Source organism: Homo sapiens, chromosome 13 (assembly GCF_000001405.40).
Source record: "Homo sapiens chromosome 13, GRCh38.p14 Primary Assembly".
Lineage (NCBI taxonomy): Eukaryota > Metazoa > Chordata > Mammalia > Primates > Hominidae > Homo > Homo sapiens.
The window spans coordinates 105,451,863-105,465,584 of record NC_000013.11 but is presented as its reverse complement, the minus strand read 5'-3'; the positions used below and the strand labels follow the sequence as shown (position 1 = coordinate 105,465,584).

General features: G+C 36.4%; 1 long non-coding RNA gene across 1 annotated transcript in view, besides 1 other annotated feature; it reads left to right on the top strand.

Moving 5' to 3' along the window:
- The window catches only part of DAOA-AS1 (DAOA antisense RNA 1), a 46,627-nt gene extending 40,097 nt beyond the window's left edge, over positions 1-6,530 (top strand). The window contains exons 6-7 of the long non-coding RNA NR_040247.1: positions 3,078-3,286; positions 4,997-6,530. This is a non-coding gene — a long non-coding RNA (DAOA antisense RNA 1). The remainder of the gene's footprint in view (positions 1-3,077; positions 3,287-4,996) is intronic.
- Positions 11,197-11,366: an enhancer, noted in NCBI's record as "experimental_31616 CRE fragment used in MPRA reporter constructs". NCBI's record gives its function as "activates a minimal promoter by MPRAs in K562 erythroleukemia cells, with activity observed for both the introgressed and non-introgressed 13:106106653 variant alleles {active_cell/tissue: K562}" and the evidence as "EXISTENCE:reporter gene assay evidence [ECO:0000049][PMID:34662402]".

Genomic DNA, 13,722 nt, shown 5'->3' with positions numbered 1-13,722 from the left:
GGAGAGACTGGATAATGTAAGTCTTTATATTTTTCACAACTTCAAGTTTATAGCATCCAAATGAGCAATTGCTGACATACCTAGGGGATTTCTCTGCAGGTTCAAGTCTGATCTGGCCTGAGGGCAACACTCTTACTGAGTGTGTTCCTAGGCACTCCTTGGCAGTTGGCTCCAGGCCACAATAAAGAGCCCTGATGATTCTCTGAGCAGGCCCAACTTCCATTCACATTCATGGGAATATGAGGATGACTTGTGATCTTCAGGACTTAGATAGACTCTTTCAGTTGGTGTAGGGTAAGCTCAGCTCATCTCTAGAGACTTCCCACAGTGGAGCTCATGCATGACTCTGTGCAGGTGGCACAGGACAGCCAGAGACAGGCACCTAAGGAGTGCACTACCAGCAGGTGGACTCTCCACTGAGGGAGGTAGACAAGGGAGAAAGCCAGGTGTCCACATGGAGCAGGCCTTACTCAGGGAGACTGAGATTTTGCTCTACACATCATAAAACGTGGAGGTCATTAATGGAATTTTTCACAGGACATGACTGCCATAGCCATGATAGGGTCCCTGGCTAATCTTTCAATTATGATAGCATCATAAGATAATTTTGAATATGAGGAGAGAAGAATAACTCTAGAACTGCAATATCCAATATGGTAACCCCTAGCAACCTAAGGCTACTTAAACTAATTAAAATTAAAACTTTAGTTCCTCAGTGCCACTAGCCATATTTCAAGTACTCAATAACCACACACACTTGGCTACCATGTTGGACAGCACTGACATAGACCATTTCCATTACTGCAGAAAGTCCTCCTATTTGACAGTCCACCTCTGGAACCAATCCGGAGTCTTTAGGGACCTAAAAGACTGAGGTGCTAAATCTCAGAGCAGTACTCTGCTTAATGCTTAGTTAAAAGACTTGCTAATCTATATAGTTGATCTAGAGAACTTTAAAGGCAGCTAGTTCGTAGCAACTATGTTGCTGGACCTTGAAACTGTATGTCAGGAACTTGGTGTTCTAGTGGTGACTTCTCTTTTATCTACCATGTTCACACTTTTCCTACCACTCATTTATCCATTCAGAAAGTATTTCAGAAGTCCCTATGATTTACCAGGTGCTATTTCAGACACTGAGGCACTGTGGGGAACAAAACAAACAAAGTCTCCTTTCTCAGGGATCTCACATTCCATGTGGTGATGCAGACTGTAAAAATTCACACACAGAAGATACTTTCATACAGTAGGAAGTTTTATGAAGAATATTTCAAAAGGGGTGTGGGGTGGGAGAGGTTGATGTTCAGGTGTTTGCTTGAGAATGAACTGTTCATACAAAGAATCAATAATTCATTTGTTCCACAAATATTTATTGAGTACCTGTTATTAGCAGGCTACTTTATTAGGTTGCCAGAGCAGGGTTTTCTTAGCACAATTAAAACACAATAACATTTGTTAGAAATTCAAAGACCCATGTCCACTCTTGCATAATGAATCAGAGTCTCGAGGTTATGGTCCAGAGACTGGTGTATTTAAAAATCACTGAAGTAATTTTAAGGTATAGCCAGAATAGAGAGGACACCGGCATTCTTCCTGAAACTCAACACACTAGACAATGAGAAATCATTAAAATGAAGTAAATATTTTGATTGAGATTGTTTTGGCTTCAAAATTAATAATAGCTTGGAGAGGAAAGAAGGTAAATTATAAAAGACAATTAAGAATCTCTTAAATGTATTTAGATAATAGTTACAGAGGGACAAAAATGAGTAGGATCTGTGATAACAGAAAGAATAAAAATAAACAAAAGGACTTAAAAAAGTAAGAATAAGAAAGAAGTCAACAGTAACCCAGAAATTTTCAACCTCATGTCTAAGAGAATGATGATGCTATTTAGCAATATATCCAAACCAAAAATACTACGAGAAGTAGGTTGTGTTCACTTGTGATGTTGTAAATTTATAATTACTTTTTCTTTATTTTGGATGCATGCTTTTCCTTTTTCTGAAGTTCTGAGACATACAAAAACAATAAAGAAAAACATGATTTTATGCCAGAAAATAAGATAGGAACAATTCCTCATGCTCAATATAATTTTAGCCTCCCACATAATCCAAAATATATGTGCAGCAAATTGTGGGAGTTTCGAAATTAGATCCAACTTCTTATTACAGTTAAAGATAAAAAGAAAACAAGGCTTTGTCTTTTTTAGGATCTTTTTTGGAACTTGCAGTATAAAAATACTCTTTCAAAAAACATAACTCAACATCAAAGTCCAATAAAACAGTAAACTGGACTAAATATATTCGTATATTAGCTTGACCTAAGTCTGGGAATTGAGCCAGACTTTTCAAATTATACTATCATTATTTACAGAAAAAGGAAATGTTAACTAACATTATTAAATAAAAGCACATATACACATGCATAACAGGAAACAAAATGAATGTTAATGTTAACAAATGTTGAAGATGTGTGTGTGTGTGTGTGTGTATGTGTGTGTATACAAAGCAGATAAGATATTCTCTTGAGCATGATTGGATTGGAAATAGTAGCTATGCCAGGGGAAATTTTATGCAATCCCCTTGGCTGTGGGCTACACATTTATTGTGTTATACAAATATGCCAAAAAAAATGCCATTTACACAGTTGCCTAAAACAAAATTGAAATTATACATTAGTGTTTAAAGTTTTTTTTTTTCTTTCGCCTCCTTTTCTTAATGAATGGCAGATAATGAAATTTAGGAGTTTGCAAAAACAAACGTAGTTTAAATTGTACCTTAGTTGTCTATGAAATACAAATACATTTTATATATTTATGGAAACATTTGTGTGTGTTCAGAAAGTCCATATTTTGCATTCAAGATTGACCCTGTTTTAAGTCATATTTCATTTGCTACACTCAAATTGACTAAAGGCAGATACTTTGGCATTCACTTTTTGATTCATTATTAAGGCATTATTTTGATTGATTCTGCTTAAGGTAGTTTTCCTGATCAGAGTAGACGTTTAGGCCACCTATCTAGACAAATATCCCACTTTCCTATCTGAAATATTTGATCTCTCCTTACCCATTCTAGGGTTTTGTGCATCTCTAAGATGATCATCTTGGTGTGGGGTCCTGATCTTCCCAGTGACTTAGCAGCACAGTAATTTGGCTGAAATGTTGATGAGTTCAGACAAGAAGAAGGTGATGATGACAAGAGAGCGTCACGGGGAAATTCTGCCCTGAGGAAGGAATAGTTTGAGGCTGGAGAGATGTGCTACCCCCGCCACTCTTTCTCAAATGGTATTTATTCTTGAAAGACAGTGTAAAGTGTCTGAAATTGCAGAAGCAAAGTGGTTGCTGTAGAAATACATACCATGACGTGCTTCAACTCGTTTCCTTAAAGGTTAAAGAAAGAAAAATGTGCATCTTGAAGAAAATTCCAAACCCTCATTGTGAGGAGTAATCCAATATTTCAATTTAGAAATTCAGAGGGTTTTAAATAAGAAGCAATTATTCTAGGCAAAAAGCAAATATAAATGCCAGCAGTCAAAAAACCAGTGAAAAGATATGATTAAAACTGAGATGTAAAAAATAGATATTTATCTGAAGTTCTTGACTTTTAAAGTCCACAGGCATTTTCCCTTAAGAAAAGAATAAAAACATTAAATGTTAAAGAAAAACATAAGAAATATTATAAAAAAGATAATTATTCAGAAAATATTAGTATTTTGTTACCAACACCAAAGACAAACAGAGTATTTTTCAATGACTGGAAGCCAGTTTAAGTGAGGAAAAAAAAAACACGTTATTATTACTGCTATTATCCATTATTTTTATTTTTACTTTTGGCAGTGTTATTTGCTAATCAGCTAACGCATGGTAGTGGACTTGATCTTTTATGTATTATAAAGGTTGTATCTTCTCATTTTAAGGGAATATTTTAACTACATTGTCCAATTGTACACTATAAATGCAGCAAGACCAGGTCAAGTGAAACTTCAGTGGGCGAGTCTCTTTCTTTTCTTGTGTGTAGGGCTCTCCCTCCCACCTGCTACCTTGACTTTTTAGATTCCCTGTTCCCCTGGTCTGTGCTTGTATAATATACAAGCTGTCCTTGACATAGCACGTTCCTCTTTTTTCCTTCATTATTTTTAAATGGTTATAATATACTCTTAAAAACAAATTTGAATATTACTAATAGATTCTAATATTATCTTACTCTCTGAAATTAAGTAGTGATGTATATTGTGTTAAACGCTTGTCTATGCTGATGCAACATATGGGCAGGTCTCTCTCTGGGCCTATATGTATTTGTTTCATATCGTTGTACACAGATTCATTCATTTCTTTAAATGGGTATATAATATTTCAGTGTATAAATTAATCACTCGTAAGTGGCTAGTAATTTAATTTGTTGCTACTTCCTCCCAAGATGAACAGTGCTTTAGTGAGCATCTAGCCATTTCTGTATCTGTCTACTTATTGATTTATGCATATATTCACCACCTTCTTCTTCCACAAATAGACTACACATCCTCTTCATGAGAGTCTACACAAAAATGTTACAAATAACATTTTTAACGCAATAGTTCCCTTAAGCTCACACTTGTAATGTTTCTGCCCAGACTTAAGCCAGCCAAATGTGTGGAAATAAATTCCATTTGTGTATTAAATATCAAAGATAGGGAACATTCATAACAAATGTAAACATAGCCAAGGATTCATTGAAACATTTCCACATACCATCTCTCCAAATCTGGTTTTAAAGAGATTGTAACATAATTTCAGGAATAAAGACCTTCTGGAATTGAGATTTATGGAAAAGAGATTATAGCTCCACAAGATTCTAGGGATGCAAAAGGTCTGGAGGAGCCTCCAGGCACAGGCACTTTGTTTCCATGCTGAAGATTCAATGTGGGTTCTGAAAATGCTGCTTTAGCAAGCACACATTTGTTCCACTGGTGTTGGATTTTCTATTGATTAATAGTTACCATTTTTTTCTTCTCTTAGGAAAGACAACCTGTAGGCACAGAAATCATTGCTCTGCTTACACTGAAATCTCCTGCTGACTTTGAGAGCTGAGCATTGGATTTTGATGGGAGAGTGAAACTTAGTGAAGAAATGATTTGAACCTTTGTTGATCTAATACTTCTGTGATACAGTTATCTAAACAGAATGAGTCTAAAGTCAGTATAAAGACCTGTGTCTCTCCATGTTTTGCTGCTTATAATTGCAGAGGAACATTTTGAGATAGAAAATTTTATCCCTCTTTCAAGTGACTTTTTATAAAACATAACCTTTTAAGAGAGGTCATTCTTTTGAAAAATTGTCTGAATACAAAAAAGTAACTGAACAGCAAGGGATTGTAGCCATAATGTTCTTGACCACTTTAGATTGACAAATAGTATCTCAAAATTGATCAGGTTCTGGAGAATCTATTGAGGTTGTATGGAGTAACCAAGTGATGGAAGAGGTTGGAAGTGAATAATTTTATGTGGTATTATGTGATTTTTTTTGGTGGGGGTAGTGTCTGGAGCTGAGCATGATGGAGCCTAGATGGGGCAGCCTTCTAATGCTCCCAGTATTTCGCAAATCATATGTCACGTCAAAATTGTAATGACAAAGCTCACAGCAGCTGCCTACGCCAGGTTTGGTGCCAGCTCTAATTAGAGCATTGATCATTTCTCTCCCCTTCATGAATGCACATGAGTGCACATTTTCATATATAAGGGCAAAGGACATTTCAAAGTTTGGATGGAATCTTTCCTACTTAGAAGTAATAAAAAACAATACTTTGAAATCTTACCAAATGTTAAACAAATAGCAACAATTTTTCCATTTGAAGATGTGTGTCTTAAGGTCTGTTGGATCTTTCAAATTTCTATTTTGGACATGGAAACTACAGATGAAATTTAACTTACTCAAAGTTACACAGAACTCCTGGCTGATCTCTTTTACTTAATTCTTCTAAAATCTAAAGTAAGAATAATTTTGAAATTTTATTGGTAATGCTTAAATAACAAAAGTTACTTTAATATGTTACATGTTTGAAGTTTCATTTATACTTAATATCTAATTTAACGCTTGTGAAAATATTATTCAGTATTTTTTTTTCTTTTCTAAAATGACTTGTTCAGGGCTCCTTTTGGGATTTTAAGTGAGAAAAACTCTATTTCATAATATTGTTACCATGCTCATCCAATAACACTTCATAGATGGTTAGCCATCTCTAAAATTAAATTTTGTAGTTGAGGAGCATTGAAAATATCACCTATATTTGGATTTCTGTTTAACACTTCAAAATGCATTTTATCATAATTTAAAATTTGATTTAAATACAAACCTCTTTATAGAAAACCTGATAAATGTAGTTTTATTTGTTTGCTTGCTTTTTTTTGCAGGGAGGGATATTCCCTTGATACCACTCTGTCTTTATGACTCATCGGTTATTTATAAATGTTATCATCGTTTTTCTGATTTTTAAATAAGTTTCAGAATTAATACATTTAACTGAATAAATCAACCAATAATGTCAAACTTAAAATGTGTTTGTAACAAGAGTCAGCACTTATAATGAAAAATATAATTAATTAAGAGGTTACAAAACTTATAAGCAGAGTTTACTCTGCTTACAGAAGGGCAAACATTTGTTATTTGATACAACATATTAAGTATTTATCCCATGCAATCACTGTCCTAGGCTTTGAGTTTATAGTGATGATCAAAACGATTTACAGGTTTCAAGAACCCTGCTCACATACAGCTTACAATCCTATGTGGGAAAATGATAATAGTGAAATAATTACATTAATTAATATATACTTGATTCAAATGTAAATAATTATTCTGAAGGAAAGACACCTACATCAAGAGAGCTGGCTTAAATTCGGGGATCAAGGAAGCCTTTCCAAATAATTGTTGATGGGATTGAAAGACAATTGTGGGATGAGATGACCACCTGGGCTTGGTATGGGGGAGATACAACTGTCAGTGGGAAAGCCCTGGAGATGGGGAAGAAGAACTTCTTCAATGGAGAGAAGTTCCTGAGTGAGGAGAAGGCAGGTGACCACAGTGTGAAGTGATGCTATAGAAGCCAACCACGTGGCTATGCAAGCAGAAGGAATTTATCCAAAAAGAAAGGGGGAGGCATTAGAGGGATTTAGTGTGGAGAGTGGTGGTGACAAGATCAGATTTGCAACTTGCAACTCTCTCTCAGGTTGCAGCATGGGGGATGATGGGATGAGCCCAGAGTGGACTGACGCATTTCCAGTAGTCCAGGAGAGTGGCATGTGGCATGAACTGTGTGAGGAAGGGGGAGCTGGGGGGAAGAAGTGGGGTAACAACACCCTATTTGTTGTTTTGCTTCTTACACTTTGAAAAATATTTCAAAGCAGGAATGCTATTCCAGACATTTAACACCTGGAACAGGAATAAGTACCAACCAAATATCGTGGGAGACTGACGAATCAGAATGAACATCAGCTCTGCATGGCAGTATGGTTTTAAAACACTTTCATGTCTATGTAAACAAAGTAAAAATGTTAAAAGATTATTTTACGCCTTTGGTTATCAGATAGTCAGACTTTTAGTAGTTTATATTTTATTGCAGTCTGATGAGGTCTGCTTTTAATAGTAGTTTTCTCTTCTTCCCCCAACCCCATTACATTAAAATGGCAAATGATACTTTTCCTTGTTAGTAAGCAAGGCCAAGTTAGGATTATCAGAAAGTCAATACCTAAACACAAAGAATAGTGCAGCCAAACCCGGAAAATATTGTCTGTTTTGCCAAGAGGAAGCATCTCACTGAGTATCTGGAAAGCTCATTGTTTCTCAATTATGGTTATTTTATTAGTTGCCATAACTCAGCTATAGTCATAATGTAACTGACCAGCACCGATGATGAAATCAATAACCACTACAACAGAGTAAATGCTGTTTGGGGTGCAAGAAACATCATTTTTATCTAAGTGAAAGTACATCTCATTTAAATGTATTTCAAGTTGACATTTTGTATATATTGTTAATAAACTTCAATTTTACTAAAATCTCTGCAATATCTAATCAATATACTGAATGATATGCTCTCCCCTTTTGTGCTCAAATAGGATCTGTTTATATTTTAGTTAAGAAATGCTATGCCATTTTATTATATTAGAAAAATATTTACTGGTAGGAATTTGGTTTAAACTCTCCCTGTTATTCAGCTGGGAAGTATATTACAAGTAAGTCTTTAAAGACTACAATTGGAGACCGGGCACGGTGGCTCATGCCTGTAATCCCAGCACTTTGGGAGGCCAAAGTGGGTGGATCAGGAGTTCGATACCAGCCTGGCCAACATGGTGAAAACCCCGTCTCTACTGAAAATACAAAAATTAGCCAGGTGAGGTTGCAGGCGCCTGTAATCCCAGCTACTCAGGAGGCTGAGGCAGGAGAATCCCTTGAACCTGGGAGGCAGAGTTTGCAGTGAGCTGAGATTGCACCATTGCACTCCAGCCTGGAGAACAAGAGCGAGATTTCGTCTCAAAATAAAAAAAAAAAAAAAAAGAAAAAAAAAGACTAAAATTGGAGAGTTTAACGTATCAAATTTAGGAGATAAATGGTAAATAATATGTTTGTATATGAAAATATTTTAATACAATATTTGAAATGAAGAAACTGAGATCACACAACTTTTTGAGCGTTGAGTTTATACATTTATTTTCTTTCTTTCTTTCTCTTTCTTTCTTTCTTTTTTTTTTTTTTTGAGATGGAGTCTCACTCTGTCACCCAGGCTGGAGTGCAGTGGCACAGTCTCAGCTCACTGCAACCTCTGTCTCCTAGGTTCGAGTGATTCTCCTGCCTCAGCCTCCCGAGTAGCTGGGACTACAGGTGTGTGCCACCACGCCTGGCTAGCTTTTTGTATTTTTTTAGTAGAGATAGGGTTTCACTGTGTTAGCCAGGATGGTCTTGATCTCCTGACCTCGTGATCTGCCCATCTCGGCCTCCCAAAGTGCTGGGACGTGAGCCACTGCGCCCAGCCTATTTTCTTTCTTTTACCTATATCATTTCATTTTTTTATTGATACGGAATATTTTACATATTTATGGAGTACATGTGATATTTTGTTACATGCATAGAAGGTGTAATTATCATCACGGTTTTGGGGATATATATCCCCTTCAGTATTTAGCATTTTTATGTTTTAAGAACATTTCACATTCTCTCTTCTCGCTACTTTGAAATATACAATACATTGTTGTTAACTATAGTCACTCTATTCTGCCATTGAACATTAGAACTTAAAATACTTTCCAGCCAGGTGTGGTGGCTCACACCTGTAATCCCAGCACTTTGGGAGGCCGAGGTGGGCGGGTCACCTGAGGTCAGGCGTTCAAAACCAGCCTGGCCAACATGGTGAAATGTTTGTATTTGTAAAACTACAAAAATCAGCTGGGCGTGGTGGTGGGCACCTGTAATCCTAACTACTCAGGAGGCTGAGGCAGGAGAATTGCTTGAACCTGGGAGGTGGATGTTGTAGTGAGCCCAGATTGGGTCATTGCACTCCAGCCTGGGTGACAAGAGCAAAAGTCTGTCTCAAAGAAAAAAAAAAAAAAAAAGAACTTATAGCTTCCAACTAACTCTATGTTTGCACCCATTGATCATCTTTTCTTCATTCCCCACTCTCAGCCATACACACTTCCCAGCCTCTGGCATCTATCATTCTACTGTCTACCTACATGAGATCAACATTTTTAATTCCCATGTATGAGTGATAACATGTGGTGTTTGTCTTTCTGTGTCTGGCTTATTTCACTTAACATAGTGACCTCCAGTTCCATTTATGTTGCTGCAAATGACATAATTTCAATGTTTTTGTGCACAATTAGTATTCCATTTTGCTTATCTATTTGTTAATTGATGGAGATATAGGTTGATGCTATATCTTTGCAATGGTGAATAGTGCTACAGTAAATATGCCAGTGCTGGTCTCCCTTTGGAACACCGATTTATTTTCCTTTGGATAAATACCTGGTAGTCGAATTTCTGGATCATATGGTACTTCTATTTTTAATTTTGCTCAGAAATCTCCATAGTATTTGTTCATAATGGCTGTACTAATTTACATTTCCACCAACAGTGTATAAAAGCTCCTTTTTCCCTGTACCCTCACCAGTATCTGTCATTTTTTTGTTTTTTTTAGTAATAGCCATTCTACTGGGGTAAGGTGATATCACATAGTGGTTTTGATTCACAATTCCCTGATAGTTAGTGATGTTGAGCATCTTTTTTATATACTTGGTGGTTATGCCATTTGTATGCCTTTTTTTGAGAAATGTCTACTCATGTCCTCTCATGTCCTTTGCCTACTTTTTAATAGGATTATTTGTGAGATTTGTGAGGTTGTTTTTTGTTTGTTTGTTTGTTTGTTTGTTTGTTTTCTTACAGTTGAGCTATTTGAGTCCCTTGTATTTTCTGGATATTAGTCACCTGTCAGATGAATAGCTTGCAAATATTTTCTCCCATTCAACAGGTTGTTTGGAGATTCTCTTTAAAATAGCTGCAACAAACAAACAAACAAACAAACCCGGCCAAGCACGGTGGCTCATGCCTGTAATCCCAGTACTTAGGGAGGCTGAGGCGGGCGGATCACGACGTCGGGAGATAGAGACCATCCTAGCTAACACAGTGAAACCCCATATCTACTAAAAATGCAAAAATATTAGCCTGGCGTGGTGGCGGGTGCCTGTAGTCCCAGCTACTCGGGAAGCTGAGGCAGGAGAATGGCGTGAACCCGGGAGGCGGAGCTTGCAGTGAGCCGAGATTGTGCCACTGCACTGCAGCCTGGGTGACAGAGCGAGACTCCATCCAAAAAAAAAAAAAAAAAAAAACCCTAGGAATAAATGTAACTAAGGAGGTAAAATATACCTACAAGTTGCACTAAAACACACTGACAAAAGAAATTGAAGAGGGTGCAAACAAATGGAAAGATATCCTATGCTCATGGATGAAGAGACTTAATATGATTAAAATGATCGTATCATCCGAAGCAATCCACACATTCAATGTAATCCCTATCGAAATAACATTATTTTTTCACAGAAAAAAATTTAAAAATCCTGAAGTTTGTATAGAACCAAAAAAGAGCGCAAATAGCCAAAACTATCCTGAGCAAAAAGGACAAAGCTTTAGGCATCACACTACCTAACTTCAAAATACAAGGCTATAGTAACAAAAATAGCATGGTGTTGGTATAAAAAGACACATAGAGACCAATGGAACAAAACAGAGAATCTAGAAATAAAACCCCATATTTACAGCTAGCTGATTTTTGACAAAAATGCCAAGAACATACATTGGGGAAAGGATATCCTCTTTAAAAAATGTTTGCAGGAAAATTGGATTTCCATATGCAGAAAAATGAAACTGGACCCCTACCTCTCACCATACACACAATTCAACTCAACATGGACTAAAGACTTAAACGTAAGACCTGAAGCTATAAAACCACTAGAAAAAAACAGGGAAGACACTTCAGGACTTTGTTCTAGGCAAACATTTTATGGGGGAGACCTCAAAAGCACAGAGGACAAAAACAAAAATAAATAAATGGGGCTGTATTAAACTACAAAGCTGCAGAGCAAAGGAAAGTATTTTCTTAATCCTTACTGGTTCTTAAAAAGTTTTGGATGTTGACCAACACATCTATTATGATAATTAAATGATTTGGACATGTCAAGCTTGTCAGGATATGCGCAGGTTGCCCCCTTTAGGAAGAGCACAGTGACTCTTTCTAATTCTATTTTTCTATTTCTTAAACATAGCTGACTATAAAATTGCAATGAAATTTGTGTATGAGCTAGGGAAGATGTTGGGTTGGGTTGAGATTCAAGGAAGGAGTTGGACTTTAAAATGGTGGAATCACCAGTAGAGGACAACACCGTGTACCAAAAACGTTCACAGGACAAGCCAGGTTGTACACCATGATATATGAGTTGTGATGCTGATGAAGGACATAGTAAGCTTCCAATAATGGGTCAAAAAAAAAAAAAAGAAAAAAAGAAAAGCATTAATATTAGGCAATGTATTTTGGTGCCTATAATTTATATTCTTATCAATACGGATAGCTCCATATTGATCTGTTTATATATATCTATTTGTTTATATCATTTGATTAAAATATGGCATTGACCATTGGAAAGGTACATCTCAAATTATCCTGGTTAAATGTGAAAGTATGAAGAGGCTGTGATTATAAGCATTTAAGTTTCAATCAAGTAGCAAGTGCTGTCAAGATGGTATATCCAATCAGATATTGTGAGGGACATGTGATTGCTATAGATTATTCTGCTGTCTTAAGAGATAGGCTGTGGATATTCAGATTGTGATTTTGGAGTTTAAGAGGGCAAAGTAAATTGCCTGCTGAACTCACAGTCATGTTTGAGAGAGACTGACAGGAAAAGGTAAAAATGAATCATCATCTACAACTGGCTGGATTGGACCTGACGGAATAAGATCCAGCAGGAAAGGTGTGTGACTACCATTCCTGGAACTGGGTTTTGCTGAATCATTGGACAGTTTTGCTGAATCATTGAGCATACAAGTTTTGAGGGATACATGTGCATTTAGAAAGTAACGAATAAGAATATTCATAATTATCTGCTACTTTTCATAGCCCATGTATTAACACCAAAGCAATTTTAGATGAGCTATCAATAAAAATATTAAAAAAGAAATCACAGTCTATTTATTTAACACACATTGGTTATAGTCAACAAGGTAATGTGTTGTGCTGCAATAATACAAGTAAACATCCGTCTAAGAATCCATTGTTTAGTAGGTATTACTGTACGAATTTTTAACAAAGCTGCTTTAAACACTATACCAACAGTTTTAAATACAAAAGCCCAGTGGTCAAGCTCTAATATAAATGAATAAATGTGGCCTTCTGGAAGACCCTAGAGAGACAACAGGACACAGAGTGGAGCACAGGAAAGAAAGAAGTCCACTTCCTGCATAAATGGCGGCGGCAACTCTGTTTCACCTGACAGACGCCTCCTCGAAATGCAGTCCCATTTAAAACATTTTTTGATTGTTTTAGATAAAACTTATAACATTGTTGAAGAAGCAACTAATTCTAGATATTTTTATAATTTTAAGCTGCCAGAAAAAGTAAGTCCACAATTGGAAATGGCCCAAGGCCCCCAGGATGTACCTTACCTATGCCAATATTGAGAAGATTATTCCAGTGCAAAAGGTCCATGTAACTTTCATTAACACTATGGTTTGTTGGAAACACACTAAACCACTGTTCCATAATTCCTTTTTTTTTCCAGTTACTCAAAGCAAAAATACCAGAATTTTATGTTTACAAATGTGAGTTTTTAATAGAAACATGCACAGTGTATACTTTATATATTGCCGGAATTGACTTATCGAATGATAATTTAACAAGATTGTTCATTTGAAGTTTATGCCCACTTTTATAAATAAAAGAATCATTTTGGTTGTCTTCCTCTCTTTCTCTTTATTTTTCCTTTCTTATTTCAGTCTACAACTACTCCCCCTTCTTCTGGCCCATGTGGAGATATCCCATTTCCCAACCTGCTCCCTGTTCAGTTACAAGGAGGGAGGGAAGACATCTGGCAGAGGAAGATTCCCAGGGAACTATGAAAGGAGATAGTGACTACTGCAGAGCTTGTTACAATAACAGACTATTAAGGCTGGTGCAGTGGCTCACGCCTATAATCCCAGCACTT